At 40.5% G+C, this 23,072-nt stretch overlaps 3 annotated features.

Annotated features, from left to right (window-relative positions):
• Positions 7,650 to 8,275: an enhancer, noted in NCBI's record as "OCT4-NANOG hESC enhancer chrX:16197237-16197862 (GRCh37/hg19 assembly coordinates)". NCBI's record gives its function as "activates a minimal SCP1, AML or CMV promoter by ChIP-STARR-seq in primed H9 embryonic stem cells {active_cell/tissue: H9 hESC(primed)}" and the evidence as "EXISTENCE:reporter gene assay evidence [ECO:0000049][PMID:30033119]".
• Positions 13,840 to 15,039: an enhancer, noted in NCBI's record as "CDK7 strongly-dependent group 2 enhancer chrX:16203427-16204626 (GRCh37/hg19 assembly coordinates)". NCBI's record gives its function as "activates an origin of replication core promoter dependent on BRD2, BRD4, P300/CBP, MED14 and CDK7 cofactors, with strong dependence on CDK7, by STARR-seq in HCT116 cells {active_cell/tissue: HCT116}" and the evidence as "EXISTENCE:reporter gene assay evidence [ECO:0000049][PMID:35650434]".
• Positions 15,033 to 15,777: an enhancer, noted in NCBI's record as "OCT4-NANOG-H3K27ac hESC enhancer chrX:16204620-16205364 (GRCh37/hg19 assembly coordinates)". NCBI's record gives its function as "activates a minimal SCP1, AML or CMV promoter by ChIP-STARR-seq in naive and primed H9 embryonic stem cells {active_cell/tissue: H9 hESC(naive and primed)}" and the evidence as "EXISTENCE:reporter gene assay evidence [ECO:0000049][PMID:30033119]".

The following is a 23,072-nucleotide window of genomic DNA, read 5'->3' on the forward strand; positions in this document are numbered from 1 at the left end:
GGGAGCCCAAGACGTGTCTTTCTTTTGTTCTGGTTATTTGCAAGCCACTTATAGATTCCTCTTTCTCTTCTGTGTCTACCGCGTGTTCCTTTGAAAGAGATTGACTTTGATTCAGAATCTAAGTTCATGAATTAGGTGCCTCACACAATTATTGCTGTTTATCACATTGAAGAGTGATGTTCTTGTATTTTGTAAAACAAATTGGAAATTTTTACTTACTAGATTATGATCTAGTGCAAGAAGAAATAGCATTGGAATAGCGATTGGCTTTAAACTGTGAAACAACTGAACACTGCATCAGTTGGGATCACAAGATGGTGGGAAAAAAGTGTCGATTGATTGGCAACCTTTGACGTTTAAAAATCTTATTTCTTTAAGTCTTTTGTTGTGATAAAATGAAAAGCTATATACTCACAGTTGCTATGTGTATTCAAGAATGTTGGAGAAATTAAATCATCATAAAGGAGAACACTTGCTCACTGGCTCTTTTGTTCCTTGTGCTAGGCAGTTCTTGTGTTGCTCTAAAGGCATACCTGAGACTGGGTAATTGCTAAAGAAAAGAGGTTGACTTGCTCACAGTTCACCAGGCTATGAGCGTGGCACCAGCAACTGCTTCTGGGGAGGTCTTGGGGAGCTTTTCCTCATGCCAGGAGGGGAAGGTGGTGCAGGCATGTCACGTGGCAACAGTGGGAGGAAAGACAGCCAAGCAGAGCGGGGGTGGGAGGTGCCACATGCTTTCAAATGACCAGAGATAGGGGAAGTCGCTCACTATGGCCAGGGCAGCACCATGCCATGAGGGACCCTCCTTGATGGTCCAAACACCTCCCACCAGGCCTTACCTCCAACACTGGGAATTATATCTCAACATGACATTTAGAAGGGACAAACATCTGAATTATGTCATTCACCAAACATGAATTGAACATCTGCTCTTTGACAGTCTTCATGCTAGTTCTGGGAAAGCACAGACAAAGAAGACCCAGCCCCTCACAATGATATTTTAGAATCCAAGAGCAGCTCTCCTATTAGGAACACGGTGGGGTTGGGGTGGGATGCGCGGAAGAGACACATTGGAATACCTAAGGGGCAATCAAGGTACTGGAGAGGAGGGAGGAGATTCAAGATAGGATCCTCCCTGCATTGCCCCTCCTCTACTATAAATGCCCTGGGACAGGGTAGGCTGGGAACTTGAGACACTGCCAGTCCCTCAGTAGGAGGGCATTTCAAGTTAGCCTGCATCAGGGGCTAGATGAGGCTGTTGTTGAAATGGTGAGCAGAGACCAGACCCTCAGGTGGTGGGTTTCAGAGTGGACAGACTAGGCCTTCAAGGGAAAAGTGGTCCCACCAGTTCCTTGGGGATGAGGTAGACCAGAGGGGCATCCCCACCTGGGGCAGGATTGGAAGGACTCCTGTGCTGTGTCCCCATGCCAGTGAGCACAGTGCACTATATAGATGGTTTGCCTGCTGTGTTAGGTTGTTTCTGAGAATGAGGGTGATGCTCCCTTCAGGTAGGATGTCCAGCAGCCACTGGCCTGGTCCTTTTGTCCCTGGCCTGGGGGAGCCAGACTGCTCCATTAAAAGGGAATGGAAAGGAGGTGTACTGCATAGGATGGCCAGTTCTTTGCGTAGTCCAGAGTTTTGATGGTGGCGAATGAAACTAGGGATGGGTTCAACGCAAGGGCAGCTGGGAAGGAGGAAAGGTGTTTGTCCTCTGCACACCTTCTAGCGTCTTCGTGGTGCATCTGACTGGGGAAGTCTTCTTCACACCCAGTTAAAATGACTGATCCTCTCATGGGGAATCATTACTCAGTTGGATTTAGCAAGCAGCATTTTGGCTCATTTGGTTTTCTTTGTAATAGAAGGCATGGTGGCTCATGCCTGTAATCCCAGCACTTTGGGAGGCCAAGGCGGGCAGATCACTTGATTCATGAGTTTGAGACAAGCCTGGCCAAAATGGTGAAACTCCATCTCTACTAAAAATACAAAAATTAGCCGGGTGTGGTGGCACGTGTCTGTAATCCCAGTTACTTGGGAGGCTGAGACAGGAGAATTACTTGAACCTGGGAAGCAGAGGTTGAAATGAGCCAAGATTGTACCACTGCACTCCAGCCGGGGCGACAGCATGAAAACTTGTCTCAAAACAAAACAAAACAAACAAAGAAAAAGCATTTGACAAAATCTAACACTTTTTAAAAATAATAAACACACTTAACAAACTAGGAATAGAAGAGAACTTCCTCAAGCTAATGAACGGCACTTATAAAAAACTGACAGTGAAATCATATTTAATGGTGAAAGTTTCTGCTTAAGATGAGAAACAATACAAGAATATCTGGCTCTTGCTACTTCTAGTCAACCTTGTAGTGGAGGTTCTAGCCAGAGCAGTTAGGCAAGGAAAAGAAATAAAGGCATCCAGTTTGAAAAGGAAGATGTAAAGCTATCTCTATTAGCAGATGATATAATCTTGTATATAGAAAATCCTAAGGGATCCACAAAAAATTATTAGAACTAATACATGAGTTCAGTAATCAGGATACTTGATCAGGATACAAGATCAATATGCAGCAATCAATTTTATTTCTATACACTAGCTATAAACAATCCAAAAATGAAATTAAGAATACCACTCCATTTATAATAGCATCAAAAAGAATAAAATACTTGGGAACAAATTTAACAAAGGAAACCCAAGACTTGTATGCCAAAAACTACAAAACATCATTGAAAGAATGTAAATAAAAGACAGACCATGTTCATGGATCGAAAGGCTTAATATTGTTAAGATGATGATACTCCCCAAATTGATCTTACAGATTTAATGCAATCCCTATCAAAATCCAAATTGCCTGTTTGAAGGCAATTGCCAATTTTCCTTCAAGTTGATTTAAAGAAATCAACAAGGTGATTCTAAAATTCATTCAGAAGTACAAGGGACTCAGAATAGAAAAAAAATCTGAAAAAGAACAAAGATGGAAAAGTAATATTTCTTGATTTCAAAACTTACTACAAAGCTACAGTAATCAAAATAGTGTAATACTCACATATGAATAGATATATAGATCAGTGGAACAGAACTGAGAGTCCAGAAATTAACCATTATATTTGTGGTCAATTCATTTCAACAATAATACTAAGAAAATTAAATGGAGAAATAATAGTCTTTTCAACAAATGGTGCTGGGTCAACTGGATATCTCCATGCAAAAGACTAAATTTGGAGTCCTAACTCACATCATATATAAAAAATAACTCAAAATGGATTACAGACCTAAAAATAAGAGATAAAACTATAAAACTCTTATAAGAAAACGTAGAAGTAAATCATGACCTATGATTAGATGACGGTTTATTAGCTATGACACCAAAAGCATAAGTGACAACAGAAAAAAAGAGACAAATTGAACCTTATCAAAATTAAAAACTTTTGCGCTTCAAAGATAATATCAAGAAAGTGAAAAGGCAACCCACAGAATGGGGAAAATATTTGCAAATCATTTATCTGATAAGGGACTTCCACGTAGAATATACAAGTGACTGCTAACCAGTACAAGCTTTCTTTTTGAGGGGATTAGGATGTTTTAAAATTAGATAGTGATGATGGTTGTACAATTCTATGAATATACTAAAAGTCACAGGTCTATTTCTAAAAGGTAAATTTTATAGCATATGAATTATATATCATTAAAGCTATTTTTAAAAAAATGAAGTGGGCTTTTCTCCCTGCCTTTTCAGCTGCCCAGAGCCAGCTTCTTTAAATACCCATGAGCATCCTTTTCCAGAGATTACAAAGTGAAGATGCAGACATATTTATTTTCAAACTTCCCACAAAGGAACTCATTCTTTATCTCTTGGCTAGTTATTGAAAGCATCTGGACCGAGGATATGCAAGACACCTTAAAGCTAGGACAGTTTTGCATCCAAAACTACAGGGTTACAGTTGTTGTTTGTCTTTTCAATTCCTTCAAAAATCAGTGCCTAGGGCAGGAATTTATAGCATTTGTTTACTCTGTTCCTATGTCCCTGAGGCAGAGCAGAGAGATAGACAAATAAAAATTGGTTGTCCCACACAGCTCCCTTTCTTTCAAGGTGTCTCACAGACACCTTGATTGGACAGTGGCTTCTTGGGAACAGCCCAGGATAGAAACACCACTCTCCCCAGTTAAGTCACTTCATGGGCTGGAGGGATTATGGAGCCCAGGGCACAGGAAGCACTGATTTTTTAAAAAATAATAATAACTGTTGTAATTAGATTAATTGCATATTCTAGGCATCTTTGTAATAAAATATGACATCTTTTCCTCTTTCCTGACAGATTAATGGTTCAGAGAATGATATTAAAAGCCAACTTTTTCTTAGCTCTGTGTCTCCTGGTTGCTCAGCCTCACTCTGTACTTATGGAATGATTTAAGTATTAGTTCAATAATTCATCATGAAGCAAACAGAATAATGTTCCCACTTCACAAACCCAGAGAACTACATCGATTAGGTCATTTCACTTCTGCAGAGACTTGTTTTGATAAATTCAAATACCCAAAGGGCACAGACATTAGCCTCGGTGGATTAATGGCTACTAATTCAATCTTGTGGAAAGAAAGCCTTACCAATGATTAGGTTTTCAATCTTGCAAGACCTGGAACAGCAACTTCTCCAAGATTCTTTATTCCATACCATATGTAGCAAAGAAATAAGGTGGTTAATATAACAGAATTGGTGTGAGAACTTTGCTTACACTGAGTATGAATCCTTGGTCTACCACTTACTAGCTGGGTAACCTTGGATATGTTACTTAACCTCTCTGTGTCATATTTTCTATATCTATCACATTGTGATGATAATCCCTAACTTACAAGATTGTTGTAAGAATTGCAAATGACATGAAGAGATGCACAACTTAACTAGTAATTAAAGAAATCGAAAGCCAGACTGCAAAAAGATACCATTCTACACCCACACAATTGGGAAAATAGGAAGCCTGACAATATCAAGTATTGAAAAGGAGATGAAACAATAGGTCTCTTATGTAATGTATCACTCATACATTGTATATTGTTCCAAATGATTTGGAAAACAACATAACATTATATCATAAAGGTGAACATGTTTAAACTCTGTGAAACAGCAATTCTACTCCAAGGTATTTACCCAAAGGAAACTCTTGCACATGGTTATTCAAAAATATATACAAAAATCTTTGTACCAGCACCTTTCAAAATAGCAAAAATTTTTGAAACAACCCAAATGCCCATTGACAGGAGAATGAGTAAACTAATTATGATACATTCACACAATGGAATATTAAACAGCAGTGAAAATGATTGAATCACAACTACTTGCAACAATATGTTGAGTGAAGACCAAGTACAATATTCTTTCACAAAGTTCAGTGCAAGTCAAAACATGTATTTATATTAAAGCGAATGACGTGTCAAAACAAAACAAAAAGACAACGGGACAATAAACACAAAATTAGTATAGTGGCTATCTCTGAGGGAGAGGGAGGATGGGAGAGGGGCAGAACTCAGAGTTAAAGTAAGTTTTTGTTATGTTTAAATTCCTGCGTTAAGTAGCAGGTTCATGGATGGTCATGGAATAATCAATAACATGTATTATTAACATTATAAATGCAGGTGAGGTGGATCCAGGTTTTGTAGAGGCTTCTTTTGGAAAAATAATATGAAGTTATACACATTCAATATCCTTGGCCACTCCAGTGCTCCTTTAAATGAGGGGGAAGTGTGATGGGGAAGTCAGAATGGGAAGAGAGTGTTCTTAACTGATCCTGTTTAAAATATCTTTCTTTTGCAGATTTTACAAAACCTATATGGCCATGGCAACACATTGCTCATGTTCTGCAAGGGGCATGGAAGAGGCCTCTGCAATTGAGGGGCCCTGAAGTTTAAGCTTTAGTGGCTTCATGGTAAATGCATCTCTAAGGAAGTTAGATGTAAAGGGCACCAGATGGCTCTAGTCCGGGCTCTAAAACTAGAGCTGTGTATGGTCAGGCAGGTCACTTACCTCCTCTGAACCTCAGCTTCTTTCTCTGTGAAACGATGGATCAGGCAGTATCTTCAAACTTAAACACCCTGCAACTCTGTTAGTGAAGTTTATAGACTCATTTAATAGACACACACAGTGTGAAGTCTATGTCATCAATATAATGTGTTTACAATGGGTTTTAAGTTAAAACTGTCATCTCCTATGTAGCCTGTGATAGTAGAATTTATACTGAAAAGGTTAATGGCAGCACAGAAGAGAGTTCTTTAGCACAGAATTTTTGTTCCCTCAGAATGTAAATATTTTAAAACATTATGAAAGTGCAAGACTATTTTAATGAGACAGGGAAAGTAAGTTATATATGAAAAGAGGAAACGGAAATAAAGTTAACCCCAATTAACATGCATGTTATCTTAAAAAGTTAAGACATTATAATGAATAATTACAGGTACTAATAAAAGAGTTCAATAAGAATGAAGGCTGATAATAAAAACAGACAAAAATTAATCACTTTTTATATATTGCCATTGCTATCCAAGTTTTAATTTGGTTAATATTGATCTGATGTACTTTTTTCAGGTCTTTATTTTAACCCTTTATATATGGGTTTATTTTAGGAGTTTCTCTTATAAATTAAGGTGGCAGATTTGGTTTTCATTTTTACTCTAATCTGATAGTTTATGTCTTTTACTGGGTGAATTTAACTAATTTATATTTATTTTATTTTTTTTAGAACTCATCAACTTTTAAAAACATATTTACATATACATTTTCTAAACAATACAATGTTAACCAGTTTTATTTATCTTCCTTCCAAAGGCAAAGATTTTAGCATGCTCTAACTATCCATTGAACAACTCGATCATTTTATTGTTGCTTTGAAATTTAGTTTTACTTTGGTTGATACAAAACAATTACTTTTTTCCGTCATTAAACTTACTGGCATATTTTACCAATTTATTTGTTCATTGTGATTTCACACATCTTAAGCATTCCCTCTGTGTTCACTTCTCTTCTTGATAATGTATATATTGTAATATTTCTTTCAACAAGGGTCTGGATCATAAGTATAGCCTTTGTAAATCTGATTTTTCCTTCACTCTTGAATAAGAATGTATATGCACATAAATTTCTAGCTTGAATACGTTACTCCATTGTCTCCTCGCAACTATTGTTAATGAGAAGTCTGCTTTCTAATTGTTTTGTTGTATCGTCTTTTTTATTTGGTAGCTTTTAAGATATTTTCTCTTTATTCTTGCTGCTCTTCAATTCCACTGCAATATGTCTAAAGGTGGGTATAATTTTATTTCTCTTGCTCAGTCTCAAAGTGTGCTTTGTTTTGAAGACTCATGTCTTTTGTCAATTATGGAAAATGTTCAATATTTTCTTAAATATTGCCTCTTCAACTTCCCACTCTCTTTTTTCTCATGTAATTCACATTATGCCTGTTTATTCCTCAACCTTATTGTGACTGTTCTGTTATATTTGATATCAGTATCTGTGTAATATTCAGGTTAAATTCTTCAACACTGTTTTCTGATTCACAAATTCTTTATTCAAATGTATCCAGATTTCAATTCATTTTATCTATTGAGTCTTTAGCACAATTAACTATGTTTCATTCTGTTTTGTTTTTCTTCCTTTCATATCTACCCACCCTTGTTCTTTCAAGTCTGCTTTGTTTTATAATTTTTTGTTATTTTTATGAAAATGTAGTTTTTCAACTTAGGCATACTTGTGATTTTCATGCGCATCTGTGTGAAGAGACTACTAAACAGGCTTTGTGTGAGCAATAAAGCTTTTAATCACCTGGGTGCAGGTGGGCTGAGTCCAAAAAGAGAGTCAGCGAAGGGAGATAAGGGTGGGGCCGTTTTATAGGATTTGGGTAGGTAAAGGAAAATTATAGTCAAAGGGGGGTTGTTCTCTGGCGGGCAGAGTGGGGGGTCACAAGGTGCTCAGTAGGGGAGCTTTTGAGCCAGGATGAGCCAGGAGAAGGAATTTCACAAGACAATGTCGTCAGTTAAGGCAGGAACAGGCCATTTTCACTTCTTTTGTGGTGGAATGTCATCAGTTAAGGCAGGAACCAGCCATCTGGATGTATACGTGCAGGTCACAGGGGATATGATGGCTTAGCTTGGGCTCAGAGGCCTGACATTCCTGTCTTCTTATATTAATAAGAAAAATAAAACAAAATAGTGGTAAAGTGTTGGGACAGTGAAAATTTTTGGGGGTGGTATGGAGAGATAATGGGCGATGTTTTTCAGGGCTGCTTTGAACGGGATTAGGGGCGGCATGGGAACTTAGAGTGGGAGTGGGAGAGATTAAGCTGAAGGAAGATTTTGTGGTAAGGGGTGATATTGTGAGACTGTTAGAAGAAACATTTGTCATTTAGAATTATTGGTGATGGCCTGGATACAGTTTTGTATGAATTGAAAAACTAAACGGAGTAAGAGAAGGAGAAAAACAGGTATTAAAGGTCTAAGAATTGGGAGGACCTAGGACATCTAATTAGAGAGTGCCTAAGGAGATTCAGCATAGTCCTGTCAGCAAAGATTATTTATTTACTTCAAGAGTTAAGAGTGGCAGTTTGGGGATAGCATCAGGAGATATCAGCTGTGATGTCTTGGAGAAACAGTGTAAACCGGCAGTGTAAACAAGAGCAGGGCATGTATGAGTAGTTGAGAACGGTGAATAGGAGTATGACTAGACAGAAGATAGTAGGGATGACAAGTTTTTTGGGGGCACAGTCTAAGTTGGTCTGGTGTCTGGCATGAGACTGGGGCTTAATAAAAAGGAGCAACCATACAGGAGCTCAAATGGGCTGTACCTTGTAGCATTCTGAGGACAGGTCTGACTTCTGAGAAGGCAAAGTGGTAAAAGTATTGTCCAGTCCTTTTTAAGTTGGTGGCTGAGCTTGGTGAGGTGTGTTTTTGAAAGACTTTTAGTCCATTCTACTTTTCCTGAAGACGGAGGACCATAAGGGATATAAAGGTTTCACTGAATACTAATAGCCTGAAAAATTGCTTGGCTGATTTGACTAATAAAGGCTGGTCTGTTATCAGACTATATAGAGGTGGGAAGGCTAAACTGAGGAATTATGTCTGACAGAAGGGAAGGAATGACTGCGGTGGCCTTCTCAGACCTTGTAGGAAAGGCCTGTACTTATCTAGTGAAAGTGTCTACTTAGACTAAGAGGTATTTTAGTTATCTGACTCGGGGCATGTTGAGTAAAGCTAATTTGCCAGTCCTGGGTGGGGCAAATCCTGGAGCTTAATGTGTAGGGAAGGAAGGGGGCCTGAATAATCCCTGAGGAGTAGTAGAATAGCAGACGGAACACTGAGAAGTTATTTCCTTGATGATAGATTTCCACAATGGAAAGAAAATGAGGAGAGATTCTAAGAGGCGGGCTAGTGGCTTGTACTATAGCATAGCCTGCCTTTGCTGGTGTGGCGATTAGGCCTGGTGGAACTGCCATCAATAAATCAAGCGTGATCGGGGGAGGAACAGGAAAGAAGGAAATATGGGGAAATGGGGTGAATGTCAGGTGGATCAGAGAGATACAGTCATGGGGGTCAGGTGTGGTATCTAGAAGAATGTGGGAGGCCAGATTGAAGTCTGCGCCAGGAGCAATGGTAATTGTGGGACTTAACAAAGAGTGAGTACAGCTGAAGGAGCCAGGGAGCAGACAGTATATGCGTCAGGTGTGAGGAAGAAAATAGATTTTGGAAGTTATGAGAAATGTAGAGAGTGAGTTGAGCATAGTTTGTGATTTTTAGGGCCTCTAACAGTATTAAAGCAGCGGCAGCCGCTGCATGCAGACATGAGGGCTAGGCTAAAACAGTAAGGTCAAGTTGTTTGGACAGAAAGGCTACAGGGTGCGGTCCTGGCTCTTGTGTAAGAATTCTGACCGCACTAACCATGCCTAGGAAGGAAAGGAGTTGTTGTTTTGTAAGGGATTGAGGTTTGGGAGATTAATCGGACACGATCAGCAGGGAGAGCACGTGTGTTTTTACGAGAATTATGCTGAGATAGGCAACAGATGAGGAAGAAATTTGGGCTTGACTGAAGTAATGGGGGCTATCTGTGAAGTCTTGCGGCAGTACAGCCCAGGTAATTTGCTGAGCCTAATGGGTGTCAGGGTCAGTCTAAGCGAAAGCGAAGAGAGGCTGGGATGAAGGGTGCAATAAAGAAAGCATGTTTGAGATCTAGAACAGAATAATGGGTTGTAGAGGGAGGTATTGAGGAGAGTATATAGGTTTGGCACCATGGGGTGGATAGGCAAAACAATTTGGCTGATAAGGCGCAGATTCTGAACTAGCCTGTAAGCCTTGTCTGGTTTTAGGACAGGTAAAATGGGGGAATGGTAAGGAGAGTTTATGGGCTTTAAAAGGCCATGCTGTAACAGGTGAGTGATAACAGGCTTTAGTCCTTTCAAAGCATGCTGTGGGATGGGATATTGGCATTGAGCGGGGTAAGGGTGATTAGGTTTTAATGGGATGGTAAGGGGTGCATGATCGGTCGCTAAGGAGGGAGTAGAGATGTCTTATACTTGCAGGTTAAGGTGGGGAGCTACAAGGGGAGGATGTGAAGGAGGCTTTGAACTGGGGGAAAAGGCAGCAATGAGGTGTGGCTGTAGCCTAGGAATAGTCAGGGAAGCAAATAATTTAGTTAAAGTGTCTCGGCCTAATAAGGGAGCTGGGCAGGTGGGGATAACTAAAAGGAGTGCTTAAAAGAGTATTGTCTAAGTTGGCACCAGAGTTGGGGAGTTTTAAGAGGTTTAGAAGCCTGGCCGTCAATACCCACAACAGTTATGGAAGCAAGGGAAACAGGCCCTTGAAAATAAGGTAATGTGGAGTGGGTAGCCTCCGTATTAAGAAGCGGACGGACTTACCTTCTACTGTGAGAGTTACCTAGAGCGTCTGTGATGGTCCTGCAGGCTTCTGAGGCGATCCGGCAGTGTCAGTCTTCAGCTGCTAAGCCGAGAAGATCTGGGAAAGAGTCAGAGAGCCTTGGGCTAGAGTTCCAGGAGCTCTGGAAGTGGCTGCCAGGTGAGTTGAACAGTCCAGTTTTCAGTGGGGTCCTGCACAGATGGGACACGGCTTAGGAGGAATCCTGGGCTGTGGGCATTCCTTGGCCTAGTGGCCAGATTTCTGGCACTTTTAGCAAGCTCCTGGGGGAGGAGGTTCTGGAGGAACCCCTGGCAGCTACGGTTCAGGCGTTTGGAGTTCTTGTGTGCTGGAGATGTGTCTGGGGTTTGTCTCACAGTGGAGGCAAGGAATTGCAACTCAGAAATATGTTGCTACTTGGCTGCCTCTATTATTGTACACCTTGAAGGTGAGGTTAATTAAGTCTTGTTGTGGGGTTTGAGGGCCGGAATTTAATTTTTGGAGTTTTATTTAATGTCAGGAACGGATTGGGTAATAAAATGTATATTGAGAATAAGACGGCCTTTTGACCTTTTAGGGTCTAGGGCTGTAAAGCGTCTCAGGGTTGCTGCCGAACGAGCCATGAACTGGGCTGGGTTTTTCATATTTGGTGAAAGAGCCTAAATGCTCACTGATTTGGGAGACGTCTGATAAAGAAAAAGGAGCATTAACCTTGACTATGCCTTTAGCTTCAGCCACCTTTTTAAGAGGAAATTGCTGGGCAGGTGGGGGAGGGCTATGCACGGAATGAAACTGTAAACCAGACCGGGTGTGAGGAGGGGAGGTGATAAAAAGATTGTAGGGTGGAGGAGCGGAGGCTGAGGAAGAATTGGGACCTAGCTCGGCCTGGCGAGGAGCAGCCTGGGGAGGAGGGGAGGAGCGTGGATATAACGGATTGGGGCGCCGAGATACAAGGTTGGGGCACTTGTACTTCCAGAAAAGCGGGACTTGCCGCTAAGGGTAAAGGAGAAGGGGTTGGGGGTGTCTTGCCCCCCAGAAAGGTGGAGAAGGGGTAGAGACACAGAAGGGGTTCGGGTACTTGCCTCTCCTCTAGAAAAGCGGGACTTGCCGCTAAGAGTGAAGGAGAAGGGGTTGGGGGTTTCTTGCCCCCCAGAAAGGCGGAGAAGCGGGTAGAGACACGGAGAGAAGGGGTTGGGCTACTTGCCCCTCCTCCAGAAAAGCGGGACTTGCCGCTAAGGGTGAAAGACCAAGGCAGGCGTCCTTGCATGGTCTGACACTTCTGAAACCTGGGTGAATAATCAGAGAGGTGTCCCTGAAATGATTAAACACCAAGAGAAGGCTGCCTTCCCTAGTCCGTGACTGGCGCCGGAGTTTTGGGTCCACGGATAAAACGTGTCTCCTTTGTCTCTACCAGAAAATGAAAGGAGTTGAAATTAAGAGAAGGGAGAGATTGAAGAGTGGCGCCAAGATTGAAAGGAGAAAGAGGTTGAGGGATAGTGAGGGAGGTTGGAGAAGAGAGTAAAAAGAGGCCACTTACTGTATTTGAAATTGGTGAGATGTTTCTTGGGCTGGTCGGTCTGAGGACCTGAGGTCATAGGTGGATCTTTCTCACGGAGCAAAGAGCAGGAGGACAGGGGATTGATCTCCTAAGGGAAGTCCCCTGATCCGAGTCACGGCACCAAATTTCATGCGCGTCAGTGTGAGGAGACTACTAAACAGGCTTTGTGTGAGCAATAAAGCTTTTAATCACCTGGGTGTAGGCGGGCTGAGTCCGAAAAGAGAGTCAGCGAAGGGAGATAAGGGTGGGGCCGTTTTATAGGATTTGGGTAGATAAAGGAAAATTACAGTCAAAGGGGGGTTCTCTGGCTGGCAGAGTGGGGGTCACAAGGTGCTCAGTAGGGGAGCTTTTGAGCCAGGATGAGCCAGAAGAAGGAATTTCACAAGACAGTGTCATCAGTTAAGGCAGGAACAGGCCATTTTCACTTCTTTTGTGGTGGAATGTCATCAGTTAAGGCAGGAACCGGCCATCTGGATATGTACGTGCAGGTCACAGAGGATATGATGGCTTAGCTTGGGCTCAGAGGCCTGACAATGATCAAGTCTTTTCTAAACTTTAAAAAATTATTTTAATTTCATCCTGAGTGAATTCATGTTTGAGTGGTGATTTTGTCAGCCGTCTTTCTTAACACATAATTTCTTTACTTTCTTTGGAATTTTGGTTTATAAGACCATTTTGAGTCTTTGAGACAGAGCTCTCTCCCTCTCCTCCTGTTGCTGCTTTCCAGCAGGTTTTTAGTACTTCTGCCTCTGGACTGATAATACAGAACCAAGAGTTTTTTTGAAAGTTCCAGGTCTCAACCCCGTGATGATATCAGGGATGTCTCAGATCCAGTCACTAAGCCTGCAGACATCTTGGCTCCATTCTGGTGTGAAAGCTGCTTATGTCTTCTCTTCTGTTAGAGGCTCACCTGTGAACTACAGCCAATAAACCTAGGCAAACAGAGCAGGACACAATACTTGGCACCTATTTCTAAAAGGTGGCTAAACTTTGTGCACCCTGCTGCCTGGGTAATGTTTTGTTGTTGTTGTTGTTTTGAGACGGACTCTTGCTCTGTCACCCAGGCTGGAGTGCAGTGGCATGATCTTGGCTCACTGCAACCTCCGCCTCCCAGGTTCAAGCGATTCTCCTGCCTCAGCCTCCCGAGTACCTGCGATTACAGGCATGCGCCACCATGCCTGGCTAATTTTTGTATTTTTAGTAGAGATGGGGTTTCACCATATTGGTCAGGTTGGTCTTGAACTCCTGATGTCATGATCCGCCTGCCTCGGCCTCCCAAAGTGCTGGGATTACAGGCATGAGCCACTGTGCCCGCCATGCCTGGATAATGCTTAAAGACAGAGAAGCAGACAGTCTATCCAGCTGGGGAACTTTAGGAGTCAGGCTTTTAAAGCCCAAGAGGGAATTTTACTTGAAAATGAATCTGATTTTATATGGGGTTATTTGCCCACAAGTAACAAAGATTTTAATTATAACTGCTTTTCTTTGGGAGATATATCAAGGATTCAATAAATGAACCTACCTTAAAGAATGTCAGAACATGAGAAAATATTCCAAAGACCAAAAGAAAGACCAGAGCAGAGGAAGGTGGGGAGAGAAAGAGAGAAACTAGGAGAAGGAAAGAGAAGCGGACGGGAGAACTAGGTACGGAGAAAGGAAGGGAAGAGAGACAGAAGCAGAGATACAGAGACAGGTGGGGGGCAGAAAGAGCCAAAGGGAGAAATATAGACAGTGAGAGACAGCCAAAGGCAGGGATAAAAAGGAAACGCTTGCAAAAAATCATGTCACTACATTGAAGGGATTCCATTTTCTGGCTTTTATAAAAGAAAATATGGCCACAGCCCTGTGAGTAGATGGACCCTACTTGCTGAGTCTGTTGAGAGGATAACCCAGAAGGGAGGAAGTGGTAAAAATGACTAATCTGGTAAAAATGACTAATCTTTCTGTCACTTGAATGACCCCTTCCAAGCCTGAGACAGAAGGCTGCTCTACACTAGCTGTTGCCCAGCACAGACAAGGAGCCTTCCCCACTGCCTCTGGCCGCTTCTAACAGCCAGGCTGATTCGATAGTCTCTTCAATAACCCATTCATCCACAGCCTTATATTCATTTTCATCCTGAGTAACACTAATTGCCCTTCTGCCAAGAGCATGTGGAAGGCATTGATTGATGACACTGCAGTATTTTCCACTTCAGCAGCAGCAGCCATGTGTGTCTTGGCTGATGCAGACTTTCCTCAGGTGAGCATCTTCCAGGATCAGTGACTGCAGGAAAAGTGAGCCCTCATCAGCAAACTAGTAGTTGGGTTAATAGAATGAACTACAGAAGATTAACCCCATCCTAATGACTGATCCTTCCCTTTGAAACATCACAGTGAACTATCATAATGAGGCCAAATATTTGCTCCCCTGTAAGAGTGCCTCCATTTATCCAAAGCTGTCTTTGCTTGGGTTTCCCCAAATGCAGAATCTGAGAGAAGGATACAAGTACAGGTAGTTTATTTGGGAGGTGCAGATAACACTGGTAGGAGAGTGGGGAAATGTCACAAAACAGAGAAGGCAGCCAATAAAGGATGCATTATCAAGCCAGCTTCCACTGTGGGAAACTGGAGCTTAATCCTACAGGGCAACTCTGAGAAGTGGTGTGAAACCTATGCCTTGAGGGTTTTTAACCCAAGGAGAGAGGGAGCTGGGGTATTTATATACCAACTTCTGGCAGGAATTAACCTCTCTTGGGAGGAATTGTTTCATGGAAGTTCCAGCCTGCCTTACATATAAGCAGAGTGGCCTTCCATTTAAACATTAAAAGTAGACATTTGCAGTTGAAAGTTGGCTGGGGTAGACTTAAGTGTTAAGGCCTGAGTTATATGTGGCACTTATGCAAAGCTTGCCCAAAAGCCTTAGTGGAAACACTGAAACTTGCTTCATTTACTGAGCTCCTCTGAAAACGGCTTTCCATCTCTAAAGGTTCACAGCATGAGCTCATTTACAAGTAGTTTAGCAACCTACATTCGTGGCACACCTGAATTAGTCCCAGCACTTAGGTTCAACGTCAACTCTTGATATGCAACTAACCAGGCAAAGTCATTTAACCTGAGTCTCAACTTTTTTCATCTGTCAGGAAGAGATATTAAGTTTTGACCTCCCTCACAGGCATGAAATGAGGCTCAAAATCAAAATATGATAATATGCATGAGGTGTCAACAAACTTTTCTAAAGGTCCAGATAGTAAACATCTTAGCCTTTGCAGGCCATGTGATCTCAGTGGCTACTCACCTCTGCTATTTCAGCAGGAAAACAGTCTAGACAATAGGTAAACAAATGCATGTGGCTGTATTCCAATAAAACTTGATTTACAAAATAAGGCAGCAGGCTAAATTTGACCTACCAATCCATGAGCTGTGTTTTGCCAACCTCTTATGTACACGAAAGACTTTTGTAAACTTTAGTGCTATGCACATTCTCTGTATCATTTATCCCTCACTCAATAAATCATTGGAATTCACTATCCCTGTCATCCCGGGGGTGGAATTCTTAGTTTCTTCCTTCATACAGCACGTATTTACTGAGCACCTCTTCTGTGGAAGGCATTATGCTGGCCCTGGGGCTTCAGTGCTAATAAGACAGACACAGTCCATGCCCAACACCTAGAATGGCAATCCTAAACCTGTTCTCCCACCAGTCTGCACAAAATAGTTATTCCTTTGGATGAACAAGTGACAACTGCAACTGAAACCCTATCGGTGCCTGGGAGAGTTGGAGGCATAGGCAGCATTACTAAAACAGCTTAACCTCAGGGCCCCACACTTGTATTGAATCCTTCCAAGGCCCTGGAAGGGGCCCTAGCAGTGATTCATATGGTCATATATTTTTGTCAAATTCACAAATACAAGCTATTTTAAAGCATAATTGAGTAAGGTCACTGTCTTTTTCTACTCTGACTTATCCTCCATCACACTTCCCCTGTGTTAGATGGTTTCCCTGATTCTTCCCTTTGAAACAGCATTGTAAGCTATGAGCAGTCACTCCAAACTCTTTTTACATTTTTTTTTTTTTTTTTTTTTTTTAAGAACGAGGCTTGCTCTGTTGCCCAGGCTGGAGTGCAGTGTCGCGATCTCAGCTCACTGCAACCTCCACCTCCCGGGTTCACACCATTCTCCTGTCTCAGCCTCTGAGTAGCTGGGACCACAGGCACCCGCCACCACGCCCGGCTAATTTTTTGTATTTTTACTAGAAACGGGGTTTCACCGTGTCAGCCAGGATGGTCTCGATCTCCTGACCTCGTGATCCACTCTCCTAGGCCTCCCAAAGTGTTGGGATTACAGGCGTGAGCCACTGCTCCCAGCCCAGCCATTCCAAACTCTTTTTAATAAAAAACATTATCACTGTGTGGACTTTGGAGTTACGGTCTATTGGGACTTCTTTCAGACAGGCCCCCTTTTGAGGGACAAGAATTAACAATAGTTAAGTCATTATTCGCCATGGCTCTTTGGTACCTTTGTGGCCAAAGCACTGTAGGAGAGGGCTGGTATTAACAGTCATGATAATTTCTGGGATAAGAACTAGTGGGAGAATGTAAAATGACAAGAGGGGCTGTCAAATTATTTAAGGAAGCAAACTTCTAAGTTTAGGGAAAAGGCTCAGGAAAAGCCAAGTAAAATTTATCAGCACTAAGATTTAGAAATTTACAAAGTCACCTTTAGCCTTTTACAGGCTTATATTCATTCCTGAGCTAACCTGAGCCCCATAATTTCACAGCATTTACCCACCTAAGGACCAGCCCAGTATTCATGAAAAACCCATGAATGCAAGTGTTCATCTGTGTATGGATATGTATACATATGTATTTGAGTGTATATGTACGCATGTAACTACATAAGTATGTTTGACATCTATGTAAAACTCTCTTAAAACAAATATTCAGATACTAGGAAAAGGTGACATCATTGTACTTCCAAATATAGACCAATTATATGAACAATAGCTATGATTCATTGAAAGCTTACCATGTGCCAAACATCATGCAAGCACTTTACACAAAATCTTACAAAGCAGGTGCAGTTGGTACAGTTATTATTGTCTCTGTTATTTGGATACAGAAATTGAAGCACTAAGAGGTTAGGAACTTTCCCAAGAACAGTAACTTATAACTGATGCAGCTAGGATTTAAACTCAGGTATTTTTGACTCCAGAACCTGATTTTTAACTACCACATAGTAGTGTGGTTAAAAAAACTGTAAATGTCCTGTCAAAAGGACAATGTCTTCACAAAACAACCTAGAGCCTTGGGAATGAATTTGTTCACCAAGAGTCATTGTAGGAAACTGGCATTTGTATGTCTGGGCTGGGGCCAGGATTCAGGCACAGAGAGCATTTTCTCCTGGTGTAAATGTTATGGAAAGGACTCCAGGACTCAGTCTCTCACTCTTTCTCTTAATACTTTTCCGTTACATCAGTCACCCCAGCGATGATTCCACCTGTCTTTCTCCAGATTCCATGAGCCCCATTTTCTGACAAAGATGTTTATTGTCTCTGACCCACTAAATATTGACACCATACACCTATTCCCTGGGCATCTTTATCTAAGTAAGGCACATATTCAATACAAGGTTTCCAAATGAGACATACAAGTTTTGTTTCTTTCTGCTTCTAGTAGCCAAGAGGCCAGGCTAAAAATGATTGAGGTACAAGAAGTCTCTCAAGTGGCACGTAATTGAGTTTTGGTACTGACCTATATGCAGATGGTCCTCAAGGTGTGATTTTTCTTGGTATTCACATTGTCTTCGAAATTCCACTCAATTTCTTTATGCTTCTGTTAATGTCCTTCAGCTAAAGACCATCAGGAGCACACCTATAGCCAGTCAAAGTTGGCTTTATTGACTTATTACAATGAGAGTGAATGAACACCATGGGGAGCCATAGGGCATCTCAATAGAGGGTGTTAGGACTTATCATAGTATTTGGACTTGTAGTGGGTGATTTGGAGGAAGGTTCAGGAAGCAGGACTTTATTCCAGATTACAAGCTGTTAGGAAATGGTAATTCTATTATTGAGTGTCATAATAAATCTTATCTAAAGGAAGGAAGACTAGTATGAGGCTAACACTGTCATTGATAAGGCAGCATCCGTTACTTATATTAGCCAAGATAGAAAGCCATTTGATCATTTTTGTGGTTTGAACGATGTTCATGTTTTTGTTTGTGTTCAGACATGACTGCAAGGTGGTCTTATTTTCTCTTGATCCATCGCGGTCAGAGTGGGCTTATCTGAATCTGGTGCTCTGTGAGATTGCTTACGCTTAACAAGAAAACACCATGGTTTAGCTGTAAGTGCCAAGCTAGCTCTTAGCAACACCAAGGATTAGCTAATAGGACCAGGCCAACTCTTGAGTATTAGAGATGCTTTAAATCTGCTGTTTTCTTTTATATTTTCTAGTTATTGTAGTTTTTAAAAAAAATGGATCCATAATACATGTACATATTTATGGGGTACATGTGATATTATGATACATGCATGCAATGTGTAATGATCAAATCAGGATAATTGGGATATCTATCATCTCAAACATTTCTTATTTCTTTGTGTTGCGAACATTTTACATCTTCTAATCATTTTCAAATATACAACAAATTATTAACTATAGTCACCTGACTGTGATATTGAACTTATTCCTTCTATCTGACTATATTCTTGGACCAGGCACACTGGCTCACTCCTGTAATCCCAGTGCTTTGGGGCTGACACAGGAGGATCACTTGAGGCCAGGAGTTTGAGACCAGTCTGGGCAACATAGCAAGACCCCATCCCTACAAAAAATCAAAAAATTAGCCAGGCATGATAGTCCTAGCTACATATCTGTAGTCCTAGCTCCTCAGGAGGCTGAGGTGGGAGTATCACTTGAGTTCAGGAGTCTGAGGCTGCAGTGAGCTATGATTGTGCCACTGCACTCCAGACTGGGCAACAGAGTGATGTCTTTAAAAAAAATAAAATAAATTTTTAAAAAATAAATTTAAAATAAAATAAAATAACTTAACTGTATTTTTGTACCAATTGACCAGCCTTTCTTCATGCTCGCCTTCCCCCACTCTTCTCAGCCTTGTCACCACCATTCTATTCACCAGCTCCAATTAATTTTTTAAGTTCCCACATATGAGTGAGACCATGAAATATTTATCTTTCTGTGCCTGGTTTATTTCACTTAACATAATGTTTTCCAGTTCCATCCATGTTGCTGCAAATGACTGGATTTCATTCTTCTTGTGGCTGAATAGTATTCTATTGTGTACACATACCAGATTTTCTTTATCCTTTCATCTGTTGATAGGCACTTAGGTTGATTCAATATCTAGACTATTGTGAATAGGGCTACAATAAACATGGAAGTGCAGACATTTCTTCAATATGCTGATTTTCTTTCTTTTGGGTATCTACCTAGCAATGGGGTTGCTGGATCATGTGGTAGTTCTATCTTTAGTTTTTTTGAGGAATCTACATACTGTTTTCCAGAGTGGCTATACTAATTTACATTCCTCCCAACAGTGTATGCACTTACTCAGTTTTCTTATCCTTCAGCGGATGTTTCTGAGCCTCATCTCTTGAATGAATAAGTTTCATCATGCCCACTTCTCCTACATGTAGAACTCATAGAAAAAGACAAAGTATCTCAAAGATGCTAACAGTGAGACTTAGGCCTTCCAAAAGATCTTCCACATTGGAGTAGAAAACAGACACAATGTTTTCCCTGCCTTAGTTTTCATTTCCTCATAACATGGAAATAATTCCATCTGTAGCTGTACCTAGAATAGACGAAATTATGGTGCCCCGTTGCTTGTGGCCTAATTAAAGTAGACGAAGAAAAGAGAAGTAAGCATCAATGCAAGCTGAAACCTGAAATTCAACAGTCCAAAGGTCACACAATGGCACAGACTAACAATAAGCAACAAAGTGCGTGTATAATCTGTGTCACAGTAGTGATTATAACTAAGTGGTGAGAGAGAATGAAAAAATCTGCTTAGGACAAGTCTCAGAATTGGCATTCTGTCTTCGGAAGCTCTTTAATAACTGACCTCTCTCTTGGGTAGCAGAGCGGACCTTCCTTTTTCCTTTTGCCTTGGGCTCTGCCTCCCCTCCAGTCCTTTCATCCTCTTGACTGTCACCTCCCTAATAGCCACACTGGCTGGTTTCCTATGAGCCAAAGCTTCCAAATGTCCTTCGGTGCTGGAGAATAAAGCATTTGACACAGACACACGTTGTTTGTGTTTCCTGGGCTGCTAATAATAAAAGTTGCCATCTTGTTGTCCTCAAATATAAACTAAAACTATCTGCCAGTAGTATTTGTGTTTGTCTTTCAGACAATACAGTTTTTCTCCCTGCATTGTTCATCAACTCTTTGTGTGTTTTCTCTGCAAGAAAAATATTTTCTAGAACTGAAAGTTGTCAGCTTGTTCTGATTTCTATTACCACATATTAATTTGCAAGTTCTACAACTTCATATAAATGAAATTATGCAATATGTATTCTCTGTGTCTGGTATCTTTCCCTGAGCATGTTTGTGAGACTTATTCATGTTATTGTTTGTATCAGTAATTCTTTTTTTATCGCTAAGTATTATTCTATTGTATGAATATACCACAGTTTGCTTATCTGATCTGTAGATAGATATTTCATTTATTTCCAATTTGGGGCTATTAAAGATGAAATTGTTGTAAACATTCTTATACATGGCTTTTTGTGGACATATGTTTTCATTTCTCTTAAGTAAATACCTAGAAGTAGAAATTTTGGGTTATAGAGTGGGTGTACGTTTAACTTTGTAGGAAACTGACAAATAGATTTCCAAAGTGAGTATATTATTTTACACTCACACCAGCAATGGGACTTCTGGTTGTTCCACATCCTCACCAACATTTTTTTTTTCTGAAAGTCTTTAAAATTCTAGCTATTCTAGTGGAGTTTTATAGCATTTTAAAGTTTTCTGATTGTCCACAGCAGTAAGAATGCTAGATTCAATTCTTATATTTTTTTGTTGGCCAGTAAGCAAAACTAGAAAAGGTACAATTTTTTCTTTAAAATTGCACTAAAAACCCTAACCATAAAAAAGATTGATAAACTGAACTTACCTAAAATTAAGAACTCCTATTCATCAAAAGATACTTTTAAGATAGTAAAAAGGCAAGCCACAAATGGAGAAACATTTTTAGATCTACAAAAAAATGGCTCATATCCAGAATATATGAAGAACCCCTACAAATAAATATAAAAAAAGACAAATAGCCAAATTTAGAAGCAGGCAACAGACTTGAACAGGCACTTTACAAAGAGAATATCCATATGGTCCATTAGTTCATAAAAAGGTGTACAACTTATTTAATTCTCAGGAAAAGTCAAACTTAAATCACAATAAGATATTACTGCACACTGAATAAAAGGTCAAAAATTAATAAGATTGATAATACCAAGTGATGGCAAGGATGTGAAGCAATTGGAACTTTCAAATACATTATTAGTAGGAATGTAAATTGGTAAAGCCATTTTAAAACACTGAGGGTGACTACTTCAGCTAAATAAGCATCTACTTAAGATAAACATGACCTAGCAATCAAATCCTAGGAAATAACCAAGAAAAATGAATGCATATGTGTTCCAAAGACATATACAAACTTGCCCATAATAGCCTTATTCATAATAACTTAAACTGAAAACAACATAAATGCCTGCAATAGGAGAAAGAGATATCAATTGTAGTATATTCATATAATAGAATAATACACAACAGTAAAAATGAACTACAGAAAAACGTACAGTGACATGGATAGCTCTCACAGACTTGGGGAGTGAAAGAAGCCAGACCCAAAATGACATATACTATATAATTTCCTTTGTATGAAATTCATGCACAAGCAAAGTTAATTAATATTGTTTAGCTGTCAGAATATTTTTTATCTCTAAAAAGAGGGTATTGGGCCGGGCATGGTGGATCACACCTGTAATTCCAGCACTTTGGGAGGCCGAGGTGGGTGGATCACCTGAGGTCAGGAGTTTGAGACCAGCTTGGCCAACATGGTGAAACCCCATCTCTACTAAAAATACAAAAAAAAAAAAAAAATTAGCCGGGCGTGGTGGTGGACACCTGTAGTCCCAGCTACTCAGGAGGCTGAGGCAGGAGAATCGCTTGAACCTGGGAGGCAGAGGTTGCAGTGAGCTGAGATCACACCACTGCACTCCAGCCTGGGCAACAAAGCAACACTCCATCTCAAAATAATAAATAAATAAAGGGGGTATTGACTGGAAAGGGACATGAAGCAGCCTTCCAGAGTACTGGAAATGTTCTATATTTTGATCTGAGTCATAAAAGTTCATCAAGTTACACATGTATAATTAGTGCACTTTATTGAATACTTAAATATTTTTTTAAACTAGCAAAGATTACAGTAGATATATTGAGAATTAAAAATCAGGCAGTAAGGAATTAGTCCCTTAAAATATGTAACCCTCAGAATGCTTAAGTGTTATAATTCTCCCCTCAAAATAGTAATTATTTATTTGCTTCCTAAATTGGGATGGAAAATAATCTGAATGGATGCTGCGTAGTTTGTAAACCATTGCCCAGAGACCTGGTTCTTAGGATATTTTCAAGA

Source organism: Homo sapiens, chromosome X, assembly GCF_000001405.40.
Source record: "Homo sapiens chromosome X, GRCh38.p14 Primary Assembly".
In the NCBI taxonomy this organism is placed as follows: Eukaryota; Metazoa; Chordata; class Mammalia; order Primates; family Hominidae; genus Homo; species Homo sapiens.